The sequence below is a fragment of the Homo sapiens genome, chromosome 12 (assembly GCF_000001405.40).
Source record: "Homo sapiens chromosome 12, GRCh38.p14 Primary Assembly".
NCBI lineage: Eukaryota > Metazoa > Chordata > Mammalia > Primates > Hominidae > Homo > Homo sapiens.
The window spans coordinates 48,125,880-48,147,644 of NC_000012.12; the positions used below are offsets into that span (position 1 = coordinate 48,125,880).

General features: G+C 45.1%; 1 protein-coding gene and 1 non-coding gene across 39 annotated transcripts in view, besides 2 other annotated features; both read left to right on the forward strand.

The window, feature by feature from the left end:
• Positions 1 to 20,525, forward strand: part of PFKM (phosphofructokinase, muscle) — a 41,052-nt gene extending 20,527 nt beyond the window's left edge. For 23 of the 38 annotated variants that reach the window (NM_001354741.2, NM_001354742.2, XM_047428999.1 and 20 more), the window contains 21 exons: positions 4,484 to 4,557; positions 5,437 to 5,514; positions 6,989 to 7,178; positions 7,436 to 7,601; positions 8,353 to 8,397; positions 8,842 to 8,950; positions 9,064 to 9,159; positions 9,412 to 9,504; positions 11,842 to 11,967; positions 13,406 to 13,470; positions 13,970 to 14,033; positions 14,843 to 14,992; positions 15,432 to 15,502; positions 15,861 to 15,948; positions 16,035 to 16,187; positions 16,903 to 17,067; positions 17,874 to 17,935; positions 18,167 to 18,278; positions 19,152 to 19,251; positions 19,331 to 19,436; positions 19,685 to 20,525. In NM_001354741.2, the coding sequence (NP_001341670.1) occupies positions 4,484 to 4,557; positions 5,437 to 5,514; positions 6,989 to 7,178; positions 7,436 to 7,601; positions 8,353 to 8,397; positions 8,842 to 8,950; positions 9,064 to 9,159; positions 9,412 to 9,504; positions 11,842 to 11,967; positions 13,406 to 13,470; positions 13,970 to 14,033; positions 14,843 to 14,992; positions 15,432 to 15,502; positions 15,861 to 15,948; positions 16,035 to 16,187; positions 16,903 to 17,067; positions 17,874 to 17,935; positions 18,167 to 18,278; positions 19,152 to 19,251; positions 19,331 to 19,436; positions 19,685 to 19,829 (2,258 nt within the window). In that variant the 3' untranslated portion in view covers positions 19,830 to 20,525. Of the gene's footprint in view, positions 1 to 4,483; positions 4,558 to 5,436; positions 5,515 to 6,988; positions 7,179 to 7,435; positions 7,602 to 8,352; positions 8,398 to 8,841; positions 8,951 to 9,063; positions 9,505 to 11,841; positions 11,968 to 13,405; positions 13,626 to 13,969; positions 14,034 to 14,842; positions 14,993 to 15,431; positions 15,503 to 15,860; positions 15,949 to 16,034; positions 16,188 to 16,902; positions 17,068 to 17,873; positions 17,936 to 18,166; positions 18,279 to 19,151; positions 19,252 to 19,330; positions 19,437 to 19,684 lie in introns of all 38 variants that reach the window. The other 15 variants (XM_011538487.2, XM_047429002.1, XM_047429004.1 and 12 more) reach the window with 8 other exon arrangements.
• Positions 6,918 to 6,988, forward strand: MIR6505 (microRNA 6505). The gene has a single exon (NR_106760.1). It is a non-coding gene; the product is annotated as a microRNA 6505 (primary transcript).
• Positions 16,552 to 17,533: an enhancer, noted in NCBI's record as "NANOG-H3K27ac-H3K4me1 hESC enhancer chr12:48536214-48537195 (GRCh37/hg19 assembly coordinates)". NCBI's record gives its function as "activates a minimal SCP1, AML or CMV promoter by ChIP-STARR-seq in primed H9 embryonic stem cells {active_cell/tissue: H9 hESC(primed)}" and the evidence as "EXISTENCE:reporter gene assay evidence [ECO:0000049][PMID:30033119]".
• Positions 17,165 to 17,339: a silencer, noted in NCBI's record as "fragment chr12:48536827-48537001 (GRCh37/hg19 assembly coordinates)". NCBI's record gives its function as "represses an EF-1alpha promoter that drives an FKBP-Casp9 reporter gene in an ReSE screen in K562 erythroleukemia cells {active_cell/tissue: K562}" and the evidence as "EXISTENCE:reporter gene assay evidence [ECO:0000049][PMID:32094911]".

A 21,765-nucleotide genomic window follows, 5' to 3' on the forward strand; every position in this document is an offset into this window, starting at 1 on the left:
GTTTATTCCTCATATATTTTTAAAAATCTTATGAAAGTTAAGGCAGAAATAAATTATTTAGTATCAGCTTTAAAGTCATGCTCAAGTCATTTATTAGATTTTTTTTCTGTCTAGTCTCATAGAGACCCATTACCCACAGTTCTTCTTTCTAAAACCTCTTCCCAATATGCCGTAATTGGAGACTCCAAACTACGTGCTTATGATGTTCTCCAGAACCCCTCCTGACTACACCCAGAATACCTACTGGATGGTGCCTGTAATCTTATCCTTCGTCTTGCTTCTAATAAGTCAGACAACTGCCATGGAGGGTTATTTAGGGCAACATGGAACAGCCAAGGAGACTCTGGCCAGGACTGGCTTGGGGCCAGACTAAGCTAGTCAGGTTGGCTAGGAGAGCTCAAAGAATTACCGGGGCTCCTTAATATAAACTATTTGTATACCCCAAAGTTTGTGATTTTTAGGGAACTAGGGGTTTGAGGCATAGGTACCAGGTACATGAAGAGCATCCTAAAGTTTGGTTTCTAGGAAAACACTCAGATATTCAAGTTGGAGACAGGATGAATGACTTCTGGAAGTTGGTAGAGTTGAGGTAAGAAGAAGGCAGAGGGAGAAGAGAATTTCCTTATTGTGAGATTTTTTTTGTATGCCCAACAGATTTGGATAGTCCCTGCCCACCATCTGTTGTTTGCTTTTGTACTGAAAACGTTCGGAGTCACTTGTCTCTCTTAACCCTGGGTATACCAACAGGATTGCATTAAGTTAGAGTTTTTACAGGACCATTTACTCAGCTTGGGAACAGGAAACAATGTTCCAACCTATACATTTCAGAACAATTTTTTCCCTTATTTCCTGAAATTACAAATTCATACTCCAGAACTCCAGGTATCCAGAAGAGAATCCCATAGGCCTTGTGAAAGACTGGAAAACAAACTTTAGTTTCATATCTATTCTGATCTTATTGAGCTAACTTTATTCATCTTTCCTAAAGCATTGAAGGCTTTGTGTTGACTTTTGACCTTGTTCCTTTCACACACATAGGCTATTCCTCAAGCTACTGAGAAGCCCCTCTCTTCACAGATTTTTTGGTTTTGATGCCTTCAACTTAAGGTTGTGAACTTAGGCTTCTAGACTTCATGGGGCTTTGCCTTAGTGATGTCATAAGTAAGCTTTGACATCAGTGCTCACCAATGGCTTCTTGTTGACAAGCCCAAACTTTCAGGCCTTACCTTAGATCAGTTATCAGAAGCATTTGGCACTGTTCCAACTTCTTGAAACTGTCCACTTTTGGCTTCTAAGACATTGCTAAATCCTGGTTCTTTTGTATTTCTTGCTGCCCCTTATTAGTTTTTATCATGGAACCCCCCTTCCCCTTCCTGTTCCTTCAATGTTGGTTTTCCTCAGGGTTGCATTCCTTGCCCCTTTCCCTTATAATTCTGCATATTCTCTTGAGATAGTCTCTTCTGTGTTCACATGGATACTCCACAAGAACTTCAAACAGCATATCCAAATATGAATGTATCACCCCCACTGCCACCTGCCCAAACCAAAACCTGCCTCTGCTGAGTCAGTGGACCACGCTTTTACCCTTTGTCTAAATCAATCACGGGACATTTTCTCCTTCTCTGACCCTTGAAATGTAATCACATTGCCAACTGGATATAAGTCCTGTTGCTTCTGTTTCCTAGATGTCTTCTGTCCAGTATTTTGTTTTGTCCCAAATGCTACTCTTCCAGTTCAGGCCTTCCACATTTCTTTTCTAGGATGCCAGGTAGCCTCCTAACCCTAGAAATCCCTCTCTCAAGCTGTCTTTCACACTGCTGCCAGAGTTATCTTTCTGAGATACAGATCGCATCATGTCCCTCTGCTCTCTAAATTCTTCAGGGATTCTTTGTTGTATGCAACTTTTCTTTTTGGAGGGGCCACAGACCCCTTTAAGAATCAAATGAAAGCTGTGGACCTTCTCCCGAAAGAAATGTCCATGCCTGCAGAACTTTTCATACAGTTTTGTGGGGTTCCTGGATTCCCTGAAACCCATCACCCATGGATCCCTGATTAAACCCTGGCCTGTAGAAGACAAGTCAAACTTCTCATGGCACATAGGTGCCTGCCCACCTGTAGAGCTTCATCTCTCACCATTTCCTAGTTTATATTTTATTCTTTATAATACTAAATTACTTAAGGTTATTTTTTGACCCTCACCTTTATTTGTGCTATTCCCTCTGCCAAGAATACTCTCCCTCAAATTATCCACCTGACAGAAAAATTTTAAAGGAAATTGTCCTTTAGGTCCCATGACAAATGCTGTCTTTTCTGTATAACCTTCTCTGACTTCCTTCTGGCAGGCTTAGATACTCTTTGTCCCTGTTTCGACTGTACTTTGTCTCTCTCTCTCTCTCTCTCTTTTTTTCGAGAGATGGGGTCTCACTGTGTTGCCCAGACTACACTTAACTCCTGGGCTCAAGTGATCCTCCTGTCTCAGCCTCCCAAGTAGCTGGGACTATAGGGATGCACCATTGTACTTGGCTCATGTCTTTTATAGGGACCAATAGACCATATTGTAATTCTCCACATGTCTTGAAGACCATTACCAAGTCCTTTATCTTGGTATTCCCAGACTCTGTGGTGGTCATTGCTGTACCCCCAGTGCCTAGCATAGTGCCTGAAACATGATAGGTGTTCAGTTAGTATTTGTTCAGTGAACAAATGGACCTTCAATTCAATTTGGAGCTAATAGCCATGTAATACCAACCTGCAAAAAAAAGAAACATTTTGATTTTTTTTATTCCATTCTATTCCTGATAGCCTTGGATTATTCAAAAGTTTGTGATGGTTTTTTAGTTTGGTGCTGCAGATTTTTCCGATTACTAGCTCTCTTAGTGCTTGTTGGTATATTACATTTCTCCAGGCAGGGTTAAGGACAACATGAACAGATTTTAGATTAAAACAAAAATATGTACTAGAATGTCTAAGAGAGACTGGCTAAAATGGTTTACAAGAAGTTGACCCTTCATGGCTCTTAAGATTCCCTGTGCATCACCATGTGCTCCTTGTCACATTACATGGTAGGAAAGGAATGTCTCCCATCTCTCACCAATAAGGCCATGCTTAGCAGAGGATCAGTGCATTGTTCCTAATATGAAACACACATATGGGACACCTGCTGTGTGTTTTATGTTGGGACGGGTTGGCTTTTTCACAGTGCTCCTGGAAGAGAGTTCTTTTCACTGAGCAGCTACTAGGAGAGGGATAATATCATCTGTGAAAAAGGGAAAAGGATTGCCTCTCTATTTTAGTCCTAAGTTTTTGTTCTGTTTTGTTTTAATTTTCTTTCTTTTTTTTTTTTTTTTTTTTTTTTTTTTTTTTTACAGATGGAGTCTTGCTATGTTGCCCAGGCTGGTCTCAAACTCCTAGGCTCAAGCAGTCTTCCCAGCTTGACCTCCCAAAGTACTGAGATTACAGGCATGAGCTACCGTGTCCAGCCCTAGTTCTAAGTTTTTCTTCCAGTAGAAGCAGAGAGAGAATGATTTACAGTATACTTTTTGAGTTCCCCATAAACATCTTATATACAGGGCCACAGGAAGAGACTAGCAAATATTTGTTGACTAATTGAGGAAATGCCAGGAGAACGCAGTGAGAGAATAGAGTCCCCACCAATTCTTCCTGCACACTTGGTCACAGCCTCTTCTGGCAGTGTGATAACTAGTAAATCACAACTGTGTGGCACACATTGGAACATAGACCAACTCAAGTGACACAAAAAAGGGGGGTGTGTGTGTGTAGACTGAGAGAATCAGCTGTCTGGTAACAGATATACTGTGAACTTGTGAATAAACTGTGACTTGCCAGGTTACTGAACCATATAGAGTCATGTCTTTGTCCTGAAATGCCAACTAAAAGCTGATGTCTCGATTCAGTGCAGAAAGCAAGGAAAAACCTAGTACAGCCATTGACATTAGTAGGACAAGCCATAGAGGCTAATAATGTTAACTTAGGCATCTGAGAACTTGAATTCTAATCTGAACTTTCTAAAAGTACTAGCTTTGTGCCCCTTGACCTTTTTGAGTTTCAGTTTCCAAATCTTTAAAATGGAGACAATTCCAGGATTGTTAACAGCATTAAATAAGATGATGTTTGACAAGCTCTTGGCAGTGTCTAGCCCACAATACACATTCAAGAAAATGTGTTATTCTTGTTGTTATTGTTTCCCAGATGGTCCTATCAAGGAAAGGTCTTGGGAAAGGCAGGATTTTGGGGGGGCTTGAGGAGCAATGAATGCAGATTATCTGAAGCTCCAGTAACATTGACTGCAGTAATTGGGAGTGGGGAGGCCAGAAGACTTTGATGAGAGGATTATTCTAGATTCAGAGAAAAGACTAAATAAAGTACTGATTCGTTATCTTTAGCCAAATGTAATATCTCTGGATTCCAGGGCGCCTTTTCTTAGGAGCAACCTCTCCGTGACTTCTTTTGTCCCTCCTTTCAGGTATGAATGCTGCTGTCAGGGCTGTGGTTCGAGTTGGTATCTTCACCGGTGCCCGTGTCTTCTTTGTCCATGAGGTTGGTTCTGTACTTTGTTCTTCATCATTCTTTCTCTGTCTTCTTCTAAATCTGCCTTCTATCCCCTTCCCACATTCTGTGTCCTTACCTCCCAGTTAGTTACATTGCTGTGTTTGATTTTCCTTGACTCCGTAGCTTCATGAGTCACTCTTTCCTACTTGACTCCAATAGTGATGGTGGGACCTGAGCATCTACAAACTGGGTCTTCATGTTGCCTGTTCAATTTAAAGGAAAAAGTAACTCTCAGTCCTCCTTTTATCTCCCTCAAAACAGAGAAAGAAATGGAAATGGGTAGTATTTACAGCAAATTTAGTATATCCAGAGGAAGAGCCCCAGGAGAAAAGAGACTTGCTGCATTTCTGTAGTTTGCATAACTTTCTGAGGTTCTCAAATCTTCTTTTGCACCCTTCTCCCAGTACCCTCTCATGCTTCACCCACTCTTCTTTTTATAAGGTCCACCTGCTTTCTTGTATCAGATTTTATAATCTTTTAGAGCAAGTCGCGTTTCTTTCCTTCCCTCCCACCAACTTCCCCTTCTCCTTTTCTCCATGGTTATCAAGACCATCTGTTATCATTGGCCCCCTAGGAAGCAGGTTGGAGGAGATAGGATGAGCCAAAAATAAGAATTAAGATTAACTATTAGGAAGGATATCCACATCCCAGTATTTCAAAAATGGGAGAAAGTAGAAGAGAGTATTGCAAAAGTTGATGCCTCCTTCTTTGGACTGTGTTAAATATGATAGTCTCACGAGCATCCAGGACTCACTAATGGGAGGAGGTGGCTTGACTCTCAGAGAATCTCTTCCCAGGGATCCTGTCTTAATCTTGGGAATTTATAGAGAAGCCTAACGGGCTGAACAGGTATAATGTGTCACACAGGGTTATCAAGGCCTGGTGGATGGTGGAGATCACATCAAGGAAGCCACCTGGGAGAGCGTTTCGATGATGCTTCAGCTGGTATGTTCCAGAGAACTCCCTGTCCCATATTTGCTCTGTCCTTGTTTCATCCCACTCTGTTTTGGGCTCATGGTCTCCTAAATTCCCTGTCATGTGGTTTCATGGGAAGGAATTCAGTGACAAGAGAGGGACCCTATTTGCCCTTTACTCTTAGCATTTGAAAATACCACCCTGGTTTCCTGGGGCAGGGAGAGGGTGGAGGAGTGATCACAGGATGCTTTGCTCTTTATGGAAAGGTCATAAACAAGACTATGGGGACTGACACATAAGCAGATCTTACTCTAGGGTCACAGGGAAGGTCTGGCCCTGAAAATAACCTTACCAGAGGACTGGAGCCAGAGCCAGAAGTGGAGCTGAAATCTGCCAGTCCTCATGTGATGGAGATGAGGTGACCTGAAACCAGACCACTTAAAGGACGAAGGAACTGAGACAGCCTTTCGGAGTCTCAAAAAAATCCTAAGAGTATCCTGAGGATTTCCACAGTCCTTTATGCTACTTGCTCCATGTTGTTTTAGGCTTCTCATGTGTATCCACTGTGGGCTAGCCCACAGTGAGTGAGAGAAATACAATCATTTGCTGGTTTACTGAAAATTTGTAAATTACATTTGTATCCCCCTTTTTTCAGCTCAGTTCCCTAAAAATCCATGGGCAAAAATTTAATATGCAGTGTCTAGTGAAGGCTCTACCTAGGTGCTAAGTAATGGTGCCTGCCATAAAGTGGTCTGAGAATGAGCCAGAATTCTCCACCAGTATCCCAAAGTCATGGCTGCCCAGGAGTACATATGATATGAAAACCTAAGTATACTTACCTCTCTCAGGTAAGTATACTTTCTCTCAGGGATAGAAAGCCTTAATTTCCCAGGGACTTATAGATACCTCTCTTGGGGTATCTATAAGGCTTTCTTTACCTAGAGCTATTTTTCCTGTGAATACCTGGATATTGCAGCTTCTGCTGCTAGCACCATGGATTGCAAGGAGCTAAGGGGAAAGGATTGGCAGTACCTGGGTACAGTTAGAAATCTCAGTGCAGAGAGAGGAAAAATACTACAAAACACATTGGGATGAACTCCTAATAATAATTTGGACACAATCCAGTAATGTCAGGCCATTAGGGAGAATTTCTAAAGACTGAAGTCACTGCTTCTAAGATGTGAAAGTTGGAGATTATTTGAGAAGCCAACATACATGTATGTATTCACTTGTTCTCTTTAGGATAGTCATGGATGACAAAGCCTTCAATGAAAGGAGTTCTTAGCAGTCTTCTCAGATGTGTAGCAAAATATGGGAATGACCCTATGATGCCTCAGCCAGCATCATTTCCCTTTCCTTTGGAAGGGACAGATCACTCTTAAGGATGTCAAGGAACTTTCTAGGGAGTCACACAGTTATGTTAGGCCATCACAGCATTGGAATAGGGGATATCTCAGCATGTTGAGCCCTGTCTCTGGGGAGCTGACTTCTACCTCTTCCAAAGGGAGGCACGGTGATTGGAAGTGCCCGGTGCAAGGACTTTCGGGAACGAGAAGGACGACTCCGAGCTGCCTACAACCTGGTGAAGCGTGGGATCACCAATCTCTGTGTCATTGGGGGTGATGGCAGCCTCACTGGGGCTGACACCTTCCGTTCTGAGTGGAGTGACTTGTTGAGTGACCTCCAGAAAGCAGGTAAGAGAGTTTTCACATCAGTATTGCTTATTTGTGTCGGTACGTGCACGCGTGTACACACACACATCGCCCCCGCCCTGCTTTTACCTCCCATTGGAGAAAAATGTTACCCAGACACAAATAGGCAGTCTTTGCCCTCCTTTTTCTGGTATTGTCTACAATTCCTTTTGGCTAGAGTTTCTCTCTCTCTAGATATCTCCTCTTTAGGCATGCCAGGTGCCTCACCCAGTGGCTCCTGGTTTGCTTCTCATTGTCAGGTAAGATCACAGATGAGGAGGCTACGAAGTCCAGCTACCTGAACATTGTGGGCCTGGTTGGGTCAATTGACAATGACTTCTGTGGCACCGATATGACCATTGGCACTGACTCTGCCCTGCATCGGATCATGGAAATTGTAGATGCCATCACTACCACTGCCCAGAGGTAAGGGGACTTGGGAGGTAGGCAGTGTAAGAAGATGGCAGCTAGGACAGGCTAAAGGGCTAGAAGCTCCTGAAGACTAAAGCGTTTGAGCTATGGTGACTATAATGGCCAGTTTTCTGGGGCTAGAACACTATTTTTAACGAAAAATTATCTAGAGCACTGAAATTGCACTGTTCCCTTAATGATATATGATTTGTCTTTTGCCACTGTCTGGCCCACTGTCCAAATATGCAGCTCTGAGGTCTTTCATATCATTGGGGTAAATGGTTATTCTTCAGACTGGGCAAATCTAGGGAGCCCAGACATGAGCTACGCTTTCCAACCATATCATAGAAAGTATAGGTGCTGCTATGACCACGACAGCTCAGAGATAAGGGGACCTGGGGGGAGGCAATGTAGGATGGGAGGATAGAAGGGTAACAGTTTACCCCAGGGTAATCCTAAAGGATTCCAGTTAGTCCAATTCTCCCTTCACTTCTTATCCTTTCCTTTCCTTCCCTTCCCTGACCCGGTTCCTCCCTGGAACAGAGCCTCTGTTTAGACACTTTTTACTGCTGTGTTTTCTCAGGCCTAGGAAGGATACCTTGTGGCTAAAGTATTTCCCCTAGGTCTTCCTGGTCTCAGGAAGCCTGCTAGAAGGCCTGGCAGCATACATGTATCTCCCAGAGAGGGTAATTGGCCTAGATGTGGGTGGTGGCTTGATCTTGGCCATAGGGTCACTTGGACTGTGTCATATGTCTATCTCTTGCAGCCACCAGAGGACATTTGTGTTAGAAGTAATGGGCCGCCACTGTGGGTAAGATCCTCATTCTGACCCATTTATTCCGTGGACCTAGCGATAGCCCTTTCCTTTTCCCCAGAGAGTCCAGTGAGGTCTCTCAGTAGCAGCAGATCTGGAGGTGCACATGCTCCTTGTGGTGTGGTTCCCTTTCCGGCCTCCATCCCCTCTGTTACATCCCCACACATGCATGTGTGTACGTGCTCAGGCACGTGCTTGGTGTAAAGAGTGGGTAGTGCTCTGAGGCTGGAAGCCACTGTGGCAGGTGAACATAAATGGAAGGTATCCGTTAGAGACAGAATCTCATTGAGGGGCCCCGGTGCTCTTACCCTTGCCCCACGAATAAAATGGAGGCTCTCCAGACCTTTTATCAACTATGAGGACTAGGAGAACTTGTTGGGTATGGGTGAGGCTATTTGTAGAGTACAACTTCTAGCAGGATGCTTCTGACTCTCATCTCAGATACCTGGCCCTTGTCACCTCTCTGTCCTGTGGGGCCGACTGGGTTTTTATTCCTGAATGTCCACCAGATGACGACTGGGAGGAACACCTTTGTCGCCGACTCAGCGAGGTACTTGCACTTTATTTTGCCCTTAAGAAATCCCTCACCCTGTTCCACTGATGATCTCTTTCCCACCCATCAGCTTCATTCCATGGACCATTTTACCCTTTGTTCTCAACCAGACAAGGACCCGTGGTTCTCGTCTCAACATCATCATTGTGGCTGAGGGTGCAATTGACAAGAATGGAAAACCAATCACCTCAGAAGACATCAAGAATGTTCGTATGAATGAAGCCAGAGAGGCCTTAGAATCCATAGCCCATTCCCTTCTGGCTTCTGAGTCTCCTGACATTGCTTCTCCCCTTGGTCCTTCTGCACATCTCTCCCTGGTTCCCTGCCCCTGATTGCCTCCCACAAAGAACCATTACAAGACAAGAGGCTGAGCTGTCCATGGTTTACCCAAGTCTCTGCTTGTTTTCTTCCTTTGACTCTGCGTAACCCTCTCTCTGTCCCTCTGTTGGTCCCTTCAGCTGGTGGTTAAGCGTCTGGGATATGACACCCGGGTTACTGTCTTGGGGCATGTGCAGAGGGGTGGGACGCCATCAGCCTTTGACAGAATTCTGGTAAGTCACTGGGCTGTGTGGCCCTCATGCCTTGAAACCCTCAACCTTGTAGTCCTGCCCCCTCAGGGCTGCACTTCACCAGACAGGGACTTACATCACTGGTCGCATTGCCTCTCCACCAGCCTTTGGGCTGCAGTGGCCACTGACCCATTCCCATACACTTGAGGGTTCTCTTCTGTTACAAAAATGGTGAGAGACTACGCCTTCCTAATGGTGAGGAACAATATCTTTTTGTTTTGTTTTGTTTCATATATTTTTAATACGAATTTTGAGATAATTGTAGATTCACATGCAGTTGTACAGAATAATACAGAGGTAGTCCCACATACCCTTTGCCCAGTTTCTTTCAATGGTAACATCTTGCTTAACTATAGTACAATATCATCACCAGGATATTGACATTGATATAGTCAAGCTACAGAACATTTCTGTTACCACAGGATATCTCATGTTGTCCTTTTATAGCCACGTGTACTTTACCCCCACCCATCCCTCCTCATTATTATTATTATTATTATTTTTTGAGACGCACCATTGCACTCGCTCCCAGGCTGGAGTGCAATGGTGCGACCTTGGCTCACTGCACGCTCTGCCTCCCGGGTTCACACCATTCTCCTGCCTCAGCCTCCCAAGTAGCTGGGACTACAGGCGCCTGGACCACGCCCGGCTAATATTTTGTATTTTTAGTAGAGACAGGGTTTCACCGTGTTAGCCAGGATGGTCTTGATCTCCTGACCTTGTGATCCACCCGCCTCGGCCTCCCAAAATGCCGGGATTACAGGCGTGAGCCACTGCGCCTGGCCCTCCCTCCTCATTCTTAACCTCTGGCAACCACTAATCTGTCTCTTTGTCTGTAATTTTTAATCTTATGTATATTATATAAATGGAATTGCATAATATGCAACCCTTTAGGATTGGCTTTTTTTTCCACTCAGCATAATTCTCTAGATGTTTATCAAAGGTGTTGTTTGTTTCTATAGTTTGCTGTTTTTTGCAGAGCAGTACTCCATGGAGTGGACGTATTACAGCTTGTTTAATCATTCAAACATTTGAGTTTTCAATTTTTGGCTATTAGGGATAAAGCGACTATGAACATTTGTGTACAGCTTTTTGTGTGAACTTAAATTTTCATTTCTGCAGAGTAATTGCCCAGGAGTTCAATTGGGTTGTATGGTAGTTTTTTGTTTCTTAAAAAAATTTTTTTTCAAAGATACTGCCCAACTGTTTCCAGAATAGCTGTACCATTCCATCAGCAATTTATGAACCACCTGTTTTGTTTGCATCCTTACCAGCATTTGGGGGTCGTCACTTTTTTTTTTTTTTTTTTTTTTTTTACTATTCTGATAGGTATATAGTGGTATTTCTTTTTTCTTTCTTTCTTTTTTTTTGAGATGGAGTCTCTCTCTGTTGCCCAGGCTGGAGTGCAGTGGCATGGTCTCAGCTCACTGCAACCTCTGCCCCCTGGGTTCAAGGGATTCTCCGGCCTCAGCCTCCTGAGTAGCTGGGATTGCAGGTGCCTGCCACCATGCCCAGCTAATTTTTTAAATTTTTAGTAGAGATGGGGCTTTCACCATGTTGGCCAGGCAGGTCTTGAACTCCTGACCTTGTGATCTGCCTGCCTCGGCCTCCCAAAACATTGGGATTACTGGCGTAAGCTACTGGGCCCAGCCTTTTTTTTTTTCTTTTTTTTTTTTAAGAGATGGAGTCTTGCTCTATCACCCAGGCTAGAGTGCAGTGGTGCAATCTCGGCTCACTGCAGTCTCCATCTCCTGGGTTCAAGGGATTCTTCTACCTCAGCCTCCTGAGTAGCTAGGATTACAGGCACATGCCACCGTGCCTGGCTAACTTTTTGTATTTTTAGTAGAGACGGGGTTCCACCATGCTAGCCAGGCTGGTCTTGAACTCCTGACCTCAGGTGATCCGCCTGCCTTGGCCTCCAAAAATGCTGGAATTACAGGCATGTAATTCCAACCTTAGACACTCAGTTTAAACCCTCTTATCCTATCTTCACTGGAAGAGCAAAGCAATCTCCTACCTTGTTTTGTCAATAAGAAGGGAATATTATTAAGCCCCAGTAATCCTGTTGATTACCATAGTGGGCATGTTTCTCTAGAAGTAAGTAGAATCTTTGGGGTTCCGATGGCAAGAATACAGAGTCATCAAGCTTTAGATGAAATCTGTTTGGGGAGGTAAAGCCCAGTAAGTTCTTTGCTGCAGTTCTTAATTGTGAGACTCAGTCTTGTGATTTGGAAAAGGGCTCGAGTATCCTGACTCTCTAGGCTGAGCCAAGATGGGGCAGCCTGAGCCAGACTGTCTTTGTTCTCTGGGCTCCTGCAGGGCAGCAGGATGGGTGTGGAAGCAGTGATGGCACTTTTGGAGGGGACCCCAGATACCCCAGCCTGTGTAGTGAGCCTCTCTGGTAACCAGGCTGTGCGCCTGCCCCTCATGGAATGTGTCCAGGTGGTAAGTACTGATCCTAAACCCCTTTCTTAACACTCTCAAGCCCCTGCCTTGGAGCTCAAGGGGCATGAGACTATGTCTAAGGCCACTGGTATAGGAGCAGGTGGAAAGGCAAGATGGTATAGTAAGAGACATGTGGGGAAAGAACACAGTGGGCTTTGCATAGGAGCTCTTAACTAAGCTTCAGTGTTCCCATCTGTAAAATGTTCCTAAGGAAGGTGGGAGATTCTACATCCTCCTTAGTAATGAAACCCAGTATCTCATAATATACAACCTCAAACCTTTTTATCTTGTCTTTATTGGAAGAATAATGCTATATTCCTCCTAACTTTATTAAGAACAGGAGAATATTATTAAATTCTAGCTGGGTAGCTTTTGTCTCTATGATTTCTATCTTGAACATGTTTCTCTGAACCAACACGAGGTTACTAATGCTAACGTTGAGGGTTATTGTAAGGATTGGAGATAAGCTATATTAGCATGTGATACAGTACCTAGCAAATGTTGAGTGCTCAGGAAATGGTGGCCTTTATTATGAAGGAATCACTCCTTTGATACCACAGAGCGAACGTGGCGGCTGAGAGCGAGAACTAGGCTGTGTGGCCTGGTTCTGAGGGCTGGTCTAAATACTCCCCATCTCCCGGCCTCCTTCTCTCTGAGACTCAGGAGTCCCAGTTACCTGCAGCCTTGCTTGGAAATGTATCTGTAAAAGCTCCAAAGTGAAGGCACTGCCCCACAGAGCTGAAATCAGTAGTTGAGAAGCACACAGCAGGAATCAGTCCTTCCTAACTGGGTTACCTGTAGGATCTTCATTTACTCATGACTTTAGAGGCTGCTTTAAGGCCGGGGACCTGGGTGTGGAATGGAAGATACTATTTATCTGTGAGCATTCTTCCACTCTGCCCATACTTCTAATAAACAGAGCATAGTGCCAGGCACGGTGGCTCACGCCTATAATCCCAGCACTTTGGGAGGCCGAGGCAGGCAGATCACAAGGTCAGGAGATTGAGACCATCCTGGCTAACATGGTGAAAAATACCAAAAAAATTAGCCGGGTGTGGTTGCACACGCCTATAATCCCAGCTACTTGGGAGGCTGAGGCAGAAGAATTGCTTGAACCCGGGAGGCAGGGGGTTGCAGTGAGCCAAGATCACGCCACTGCACTCCAGCCTGGGCGACAGAGCGAGACTCCGTCTCAAAAAAAAAATAAAATAAACAGAGCATAGAATCAGTTCTTTTCTTTTGCTGCTCATTACTTAGACAACTCAGGAAAAACAAAAATACTTCCATGAAAGTTTGGGGGCATAGGAAAGGTGGGGTGTAGAATGGACAGGATCTAGTCACAATCCCAGAGATGGGCAGAGTTCGACTGTGGGATGGAGTTCCAGCTGTGCAGAATCCTGACCCTGGAGTTGAAACTGTCGCTGTGCTCCCCCCTCAGACCAAAGATGTGACCAAGGCCATGGATGAGAAGAAATTTGACGAAGCCCTGAAGCTGAGAGGCCGGTGAGGAGATGACGGGAAGCTCACTAGCTACAGAAATCAGAGGCGTGAACGAAGCCAAAGATCTCCATGGCTCCAGGCCCAAAACATGAGCTTCTGCTGCTTCCTTTTCTGATTCTCTCTGCAGCAAGTTCCTGCCCAAGAAAATTAGTTGTGAGGTGACTGGGAGGCTCAGTTCATCTCAGGGGTGTGGTCCCTGGCATCAACCTTTTATAATCTGTTATTTCTATATGTGAGCCCCAGCAAGATGATAAGTTCCTCTAGGCAAGGGACAGTCTCTTGTGCTGAGCATAGTGCCTGAAGAAGAGTACTGAGGGAGTGTTTGATGAACTAGTGGCCCTTTTGCAGCCCCTGCCCTGTCCCTGCTCTGCCCCAGTTCTGTCCTCAGAGGTTTGCCCTATGGAACTTCCCTCTGGGAGCAACACTTCAGACCAGGATCTCCATGGCTGCTGGCTGTGGGGAATGGCCTGAAGACACCTCTCTCTATTTGTACTTCCTACAGGAGCTTCATGAACAACTGGGAGGTGTACAAGCTTCTAGCTCATGTCAGACCCCCGGTATCTAAGGTACTGGCAAGTTGACTTGCCCTCTCCCCTTTTCCTTCTCCCTCCCCCAGTCTCTCTTCATAAATGCTACCACAGTCCATACAACATAAGCCTTGCCAACTTCTCTGCCCCACTCTGATCTTCAGTGCTGGGTCCCTGGCCCTATTATAATGATTTCCTCTTAACCACCCCAGATACCAGAGCCCCCTTCTTAGTGTACCCTGGATATCTCTAACACAAGACCCATGCCCACTTCAGGACTGGCAAGATAGCATGCAAAGAATGGGAAAGAGGGCTTATGTACTTTTTCTCTGGGAAAATATGGGAATAATCACATCTAAGTGTATCTAAGCCACTTCTTCCACTGGAGTAGTGGTTCTCAATATTAAGTATATATCAGAATTGTTTGGGTTGCTTATTAAACATGCAAACTCCTGGGCCCCTCTCTCAGAGGAGATTCATATCTGGGTAGAGGCCAGGAATATGCAGGTTTAACAGGCTCCCCCAGTGGATTCTGATGCAGGTGATCCAAGGAACACACTTGGGAAGTGCTGCTCTGGAAGGTCTCTCATTCATTGTATAATAATGATATCTGAGATGGGGGACAGCAGCTTTATTTATTGATCTGTGATCAAGAATTTTGCTTCCATGTATGTGGTAGCCAGCTGTGCTGGCATTCCTTGGGAGAGGGGTGTGTGTTGTGTTGTCTTAGGCAGATATCCTGATCCCTGGATGACAAGGGCTTAGAGCCCTTGCCCTCCTTTACTAACCTCCTCCCTGTTCCCCTGCTGGGTTTCTGTCCTCATTTTTCCCTGCTTCCTCCTGTATAGAGTGGTTCGCACACAGTGGCTGTGATGAACGTGGGGGCTCCGGCTGCAGGCATGAATGCTGCTGTTCGCTCCACTGTGAGGATTGGCCTTATCCAGGGCAACCGAGTGCTCGTTGTCCATGATGGTTTCGAGGGCCTGGCCAAGGGGCAGGTATGGGGACTATTCTGGGACCTAGGAGCAGTCATGGGGAAGATAAGTGTAGCAAGAATGACCTGTCCATTCTCTTGGCTTCCTCTGTTCCTCACTACCTCTCTCTCCTCTCTCAGGGTCCAGGCAGAAGTAGATATTTAATACTAGGGCAGTAGGAACAGCAGGAATTACTGCAGTGAACCATTGCAAACAACATGTCTTATTTAATTCTCTGTCCCAAAGCTCAGCACAGTGCCTGGCATAGGTAGATGCTTAATATTTGTGAATGAGCAGTAAGGGTAGAAGAAGTTGAGTGCGTGGGGAAAAGCTAATACCTGGTGTACCTTTTCCAACCAAGGGGGATCCAGGGGTAGGGTTAGAACTCAAGCAGTGGCACCAGTCCCACACAGGCCTCCTAGTGCTTTAGCCTTGTGCAGAGCTCTGTGGCTTATCCCCACAGATAGAGGAAGCTGGCTGGAGCTATGTTGGGGGCTGGACTGGCCAAGGTGGCTCTAAACTTGGGACTAAAAGGTAAGTAGCACTGCAGAGGCACCTCCTCCCAGTCACCTCTTAAAGTTGCCCTTGGATGTGGGTTCATTATGCCATGGTCTGCTTCAACCACCCTGTTGTCTGGGTCCTCCACCCTCAACCTCACAGTTGCTGCCATGAGGGCAGACATGCCCATCTCAACATCTTTAGCAGCTCTGGCAACTTAGAGCTCCAGTATGTATCCTTGGATAGGACTGAGAGGGTGGGCTAGGGAGGGCGGCACAGGTCAAGAAATTAAAAATAAAGTGCCTCTAACTCTAGCTTTTCTCCCCCTCAATTTTCCTGTCTCTTCCCCAAATTCCAATTCCCCTTCCCCTCCCCGCCATCACTGATCAACTAGGACTCTACCCAAGAAGAGCTTTGAACAGATCAGTGCCAATATAACTAAGTTTAACATTCAGGGCCTTGTCATCATTGGGGGCTTTGAGGTGAGTGCCTGCCACCATTTCTTCCTCTCTCCCTCCTACCTCCTCTCCCTCTCCCCAATCCTGCCCTTGTGCTCTCTTCTTCTTAGGCTTACACAGGGGGCCTGGAACTGATGGAGGGCAGGAAGCAGTTTGATGAGCTCTGCATCCCATTTGTGGTCATTCCTGCTACAGTCTCCAACAATGTCCCTGGCTCAGACTTCAGCGTTGGGGCTGACACAGCACTCAATACTATCTGCACAGTGAGAGCCTATCACCACTTCCCATCCCTTTTGGCCAGGATTATAATCCTTAAACTGAGTGTGGTCCCAAACAGTGAGCTACTCTTTATATCAAGCAAATGGGAATGTTTGAAAATGATTCTTCAGCTGGGCATGGTGGCTCACACTTCTAATCCCAGCACTTTGGGAGGCCAAGGCAGGCAGATCACTTGGGGTCAGGAGTTCAAGAGCAGCCTGGCCAACATGGTGAAACCCCATCTCTACTAAAAATACAAAAACTAGCTGGGTGTGGTGGTAGGCGCCTGTAATCCCAGCTACTTGGGAGGCTGAGGCAGGAAAATTGCTTGAACCTGGGAGGCGGAGGTTGCAGTGAGCAGAGATCGTGCCACTTTACTCCAGCCTGGGTGACAAAGTGTTCAGTTTCCTCACCTAGAAATGCACCAGTACCCTGAATACCAAATGTTTTGTTTGTTTTTTTTTTTCTTTCTGAGATCATGCAGTCTAATTTTCTGAGCAGTAGAAAGGATAGGTACAGCTTTCTTCCCAGGAGAGACGTTCTGCAGTGAGGTTGGCAAATATGCCTGTTACCCTAAATGCAAGAACTTGATGAGCTCTAAGGGCCCTGCTAGCCTATGGAGAATATAGTTCCAGGGTTTAATTAATGGCAAAGATTAAAGAGTGATAAGAATCAGGCCCCTGATCATGTCTTTCTAACTATAACCCATTGTCCTTGCAGACCTGTGACCGCATCAAGCAGTCAGCAGCTGGCACCAAGCGTCGGGTGTTTATCATTGAGACTATGGGTGGCTACTGTGGCTACCTGGCTACCATGGCTGGACTGGCAGCTGGGGCCGATGCTGCCTACATTTTTGAGGAGCCCTTCACCATTCGAGACCTGCAGGTAGCTGGCCACCCAGAGCCTGCTAGATAGCTCTCCCCTGTCTCCAGACTGTTTCCACAGTGATCTGAACTATGAGAGCTCAAGTTGAGGACCGAGCTGATTGGTCTGTAGAATCCTGTGAAGACCAGAAAGAGCACTATGCAGGCATTCTCTGGTGTCACCTCATATGCATGACCGCAGCTACTGTTGTTGGAATGCTGATTTTGAGTCAGGCGACCTGGTGCTAAGCCCTTTATGGGCATTTTTGCATTTTATCTTCACAATAGACATGCAAAGAAGATACTATCTCCATATAACATAGAAAGTTTAGAGAGGTTAAAAAACTTTTCTAAACTCCTAAGTGAGCAGATGGTTTAAGTGGTTGAGAAAGTCAGTGATCTTTTTACTACATCATGTCTCCCCTTCAGATTTCCCTTGCTGTCATTCTGCTTTTGAGAGAGATACTCTCTCAAAACAGAGATATAAAGTGTCAACACTGACACTGTGACCACAAGTCAGCCCTCTGAGGCAAGGGGAACCAGAAAGGCTTGGAAAGGGAGATTGGAGAGGGTGAGGGGCTGAACACTGACAGTTACTGCAGCTGTCTGTAGTGCTCCCTCTTCCAGTTCTGTCTCATTTGGAGTCATTGTTTAAATTTCAGTCCACACTGAGCTTCTTACAGGAATTAGGCACAGTTCAGGCCCAGGATTGTAAACAACTCTCTTCCATGTGTCTCTTCCTTCCTGGAGAGGTGTGGTGTGGAAGATGATTTATACCCAACCTTATCCATTCCCAGTTAGGCTTAGGATTTACTCTTTCATTTTCAGGCAAATGTTGAACATCTGGTGCAAAAGATGAAAACAACTGTGAAAAGGGGCTTGGTGTTAAGGTACCTCATCCATGGTTTGTTCCTAAATGAAGAAGAAAAATAAGCTTTGGCTCAAACCCATAGAATGGCCATTGTTGGGACACCCTGAGGAATCTGTAGATATAAAGGGAGGGGGCCAGCCTATCCCTTGAATCCTTGGAGGAGATAAAAATTGAAAGGAAAGAACAAAGGCAGAAATGGGGGATGGGAAGCCAACCACAGAGTCACAGGCTTTTGGTCTCCACCTGGCAGGAATGAAAAGTGCAATGAGAACTATACCACTGACTTCATTTTCAACCTGTACTCTGAGGAGGGGAAGGGCATCTTCGACAGCAGGAAGAATGTGCTTGGTCACATGCAGCAGGTAGGGAAGACACCGTAGTCATGCCCTTCATCAGACAGCCATACCTGCCAACAGCCATACCTGCCAACAGCCACTGAGGCTTCCACTGGCCTTTTCCAGTCTTCTGGAGGAGCCTGTCAGTGCCATCATAGAGCATGGGCCTGCAGTCTCTTACAGTCATAGAATCAAAACATCTTTATCCTGGAAATGACTTTAGAGATTATATGGTCTATCCTTTTCAAAAGCCCTCATGGGAGGGCTTTTCAACCTTGGCAGCTTTGCCTTTTGGGGCTGGATGATAATTTGTCATGGGTGGCTGTTCTATGCACTGTAGGACAGTTGCACAGCATCCCTGGTCTCTACCCACTAGATGCCAGTAGCACCTCCCTCTCACTCCCAATTGTAACAAAAATGTCTCCAAACATTCCCACTTTCCCACCTGCTTCCTCTTAATTCAAAGGAAATCTGTATGATGTTTTATATTAATTCTGAGGTGCTACCAAGGGCAGCCAGATTGGGCCACAAAAAAAACACTTTTATGTCATCATTGACAGTGATCAACAAAAGCTGCTGGGCTGAAGAGGGGCAGGCAGCTGACCCATTGGCCAATAAAACTAAAACAGGATCTGGCAGCTGTGGAGCTAAAAGAGGGGATTGTGGGGCCAATCATCTTTAATTAGTTGTTATTATATCTGATACATGGCCAAATTTGCTGGGCCAGCTTGCCTTGGATCCTGGCACTGCCTCAGGGCACCCTTTCATAGTTTGACTTCTGGATTCCTGTTTTGGGCTGTAAGCCTGGGGCCCATCTTTCTTTTTTTCTCTGTGTGTCTAGATATCTCTGCCACTTCATTAGAGTCCTTCCCTCTGTAATTTTTATGTTTCTTTCTCCAGGGTGGGAGCCCAACCCCATTTGATAGGAATTTTGCCACTAAGATGGGCGCCAAGGCTATGAACTGGATGTCTGGGAAAATCAAAGAGAGTTACCGTAATGGTAGGTGGGGTGAGAGCGAGTGCCCTCTATAGAGGCTGGTTCCCCAGTATAGAAGCTGACTGCCCATCCCTCATTGCAGGGCGGATCTTTGCCAATACTCCAGATTCGGGCTGTGTTCTGGGGATGCGTAAGAGGGCTCTGGTCTTCCAACCAGTGGCTGAGCTGAAGGACCAGACAGATTTTGAGTGAGTACATCTGCTTCCTGGAGTGGTTCTTTTCCCTGGTAGTTTCAAGCTCTACTGTCCTCAACCTGTTCACTGTCTTTAATTCTTTTTTTTTTTTAAGGAGTAACACCTGTATTCTTACCCATTTCAGATGTGATGCACATGTCCTAAATCTAACCTCTTCTGTCTAACTTCTTCCTATAAACCTTTGGTAGAAGTTGATTGGGGTGCTAAAAGATTATATCATCATCTACCTCATTCCTCTGTAGGCATCGAATCCCCAAGGAACAGTGGTGGCTGAAACTGAGGCCCATCCTCAAAATCCTAGCCAAGTACGAGATTGACTTGGACACTTCAGACCATGCCCACCTGGAGCACATCACCCGGAAGCGGTCCGGGGAAGCTGCCGTCTAAACCTCTCTGGAGTGAGGGGAATAGATTACCTGATCATGGTCAGCTCACACCCTAATAAGTCCACATCTTCTCAGTGTTTTAGCTGTTTTTTTCATTAGGTTTCCTTTTATTCTGTACCTTGCAGCCATGACCAGTTCTGGCCAGGAGCTGGAGGAGCAGGCAGTGGGTGGGAGCTCCTTTTAGGTAGAATTTAACATGACTTCTGCCCCAGCTTTATCTGTCACACAAGGCTGGGCACCTCTAGTGCTACTGCTAGATATCACTTACTCAGTTAGAATTTTCCTAAAAATAAGCTTTATTTATTTCTTTGTGATAACAAAGAGTCTTGGTTCCTCTACTACTTTTACTACAGTGACAAATTGTAACTACACTAATAAATGCCAACTGGTCACTGTGCTTTTGCTTCTCCTGTTATCATCTTCCTAAGTGGAATGTAATACTGTCAGCCCCATGTATCAGACACTTGTCTGATGAAGCAGTAAAGACGTTAAGGGTATCACAGGGGGTGGAGGAAGGGATTATCTCTAGTACACTACTTGCTGGCTGTCTGAAAAATTGTCACTGCCAAACTCTAAAAACAGTTCTAAATAGTGACTGAGAAGGTTTGTTGCTGGAGTCAGGGAATAAGGCAGCCAAATACTCTTTGCACAGTTCTTTAGTGGGAAGAGAAATTAACAATAAATATCAAGCACTGTGGTAGGCATTTCATCATTGAATCCTCATAGTAGCTTTTGGAGGGCAATGGTGACAGCCTGACTTCAGAAAGGAGGACACTGGAGCTCAAGGTGATTGATTACATAATGTCTCCTTCAATATTATTCAAGTAGAACTCAAACTCAGTTCTGACTTCAAACCTCATCCTCATTCCCCATTCCTGCTTCCTTATCATGCCATATCAAATCCCCAGAGCCATAAGGCCTATGAAAACAAAGTGAAAGGGAAGGTTCAGGCATTCATTCAGAACATTTTAAATGCTAATTGCCATTGATTTATAGGTTCTCTGTCTCTTTCCTGTCTTTAATCTTAGAGCTGTTTCCTCAAGAAAATGAAGAGGGAAGGATGGCTCAGGGAAAGTTAATCAGAGGGAAAATGTCACTCTGTAAAGAGTAAAAAATTTAGGATGATGATACGATCTGGGAAAAAAAGGCATAGTGAAGACCACTTAAAAACAAACAAAAAAAACCTATGAAGGTGCATGCTATTTCCCCAGAGCTAAAAAGATAAGTGAAATTGTGTTTGAACTCTTAAGTGGAGGTGAAGCAGAATTTATTAGCCACCAACCACATAAGTGATTATGAAGTAACTGAGAAACAGGTAACATTTTTTCCCACATGGACAAAACTTTCTCTTTCTAGAATATTAAGTATCTATGATGAGAAATGAAGTAGCATCTCAAGCAGTTTATAAATCTACCAGAATATTAGAATCACCTGGGACCTTTGAACGTACTCATGCCCAGGTCTACTTTATTCATTTATTTTTTTGTAGAGATGGGGACTTCAACTCCTGGTCTCAAATGATCCTCCCACCTCGGCCTCCTAAAGTGTGAGGATTACAGGCGTGAGCCACTGTGGCCAGCCCTACTAGGTCTGCTTTGGACCAATTAAATCAATCTCTGGGGGTGGAGCCTGGGCTTTAGTATTTTTAAAAATTTTCCTAGGTGGTTCTAATTAATAACTAGGATTGAGAACCACTGACTAACACAGTGGAATCTCATTCCTGGCTATATTTGAAGCACTGAAGCCCCCAGTCCTACCCCAGAAAATTCCAAAGAATTGGTATGAGGTGAAATCTTGGCACCAGTGTTTTTAAAAAGCTTCCTTAGTGATTTTATGTGCAGCTGGAGTTGAGAACATAAAAGCAGTAATTCCAAATTTGGGGTGGGAGAAGGTATAAAGGAAGGGGAAGCTCTTCAGATACTCTGCCCAAGCCCTCC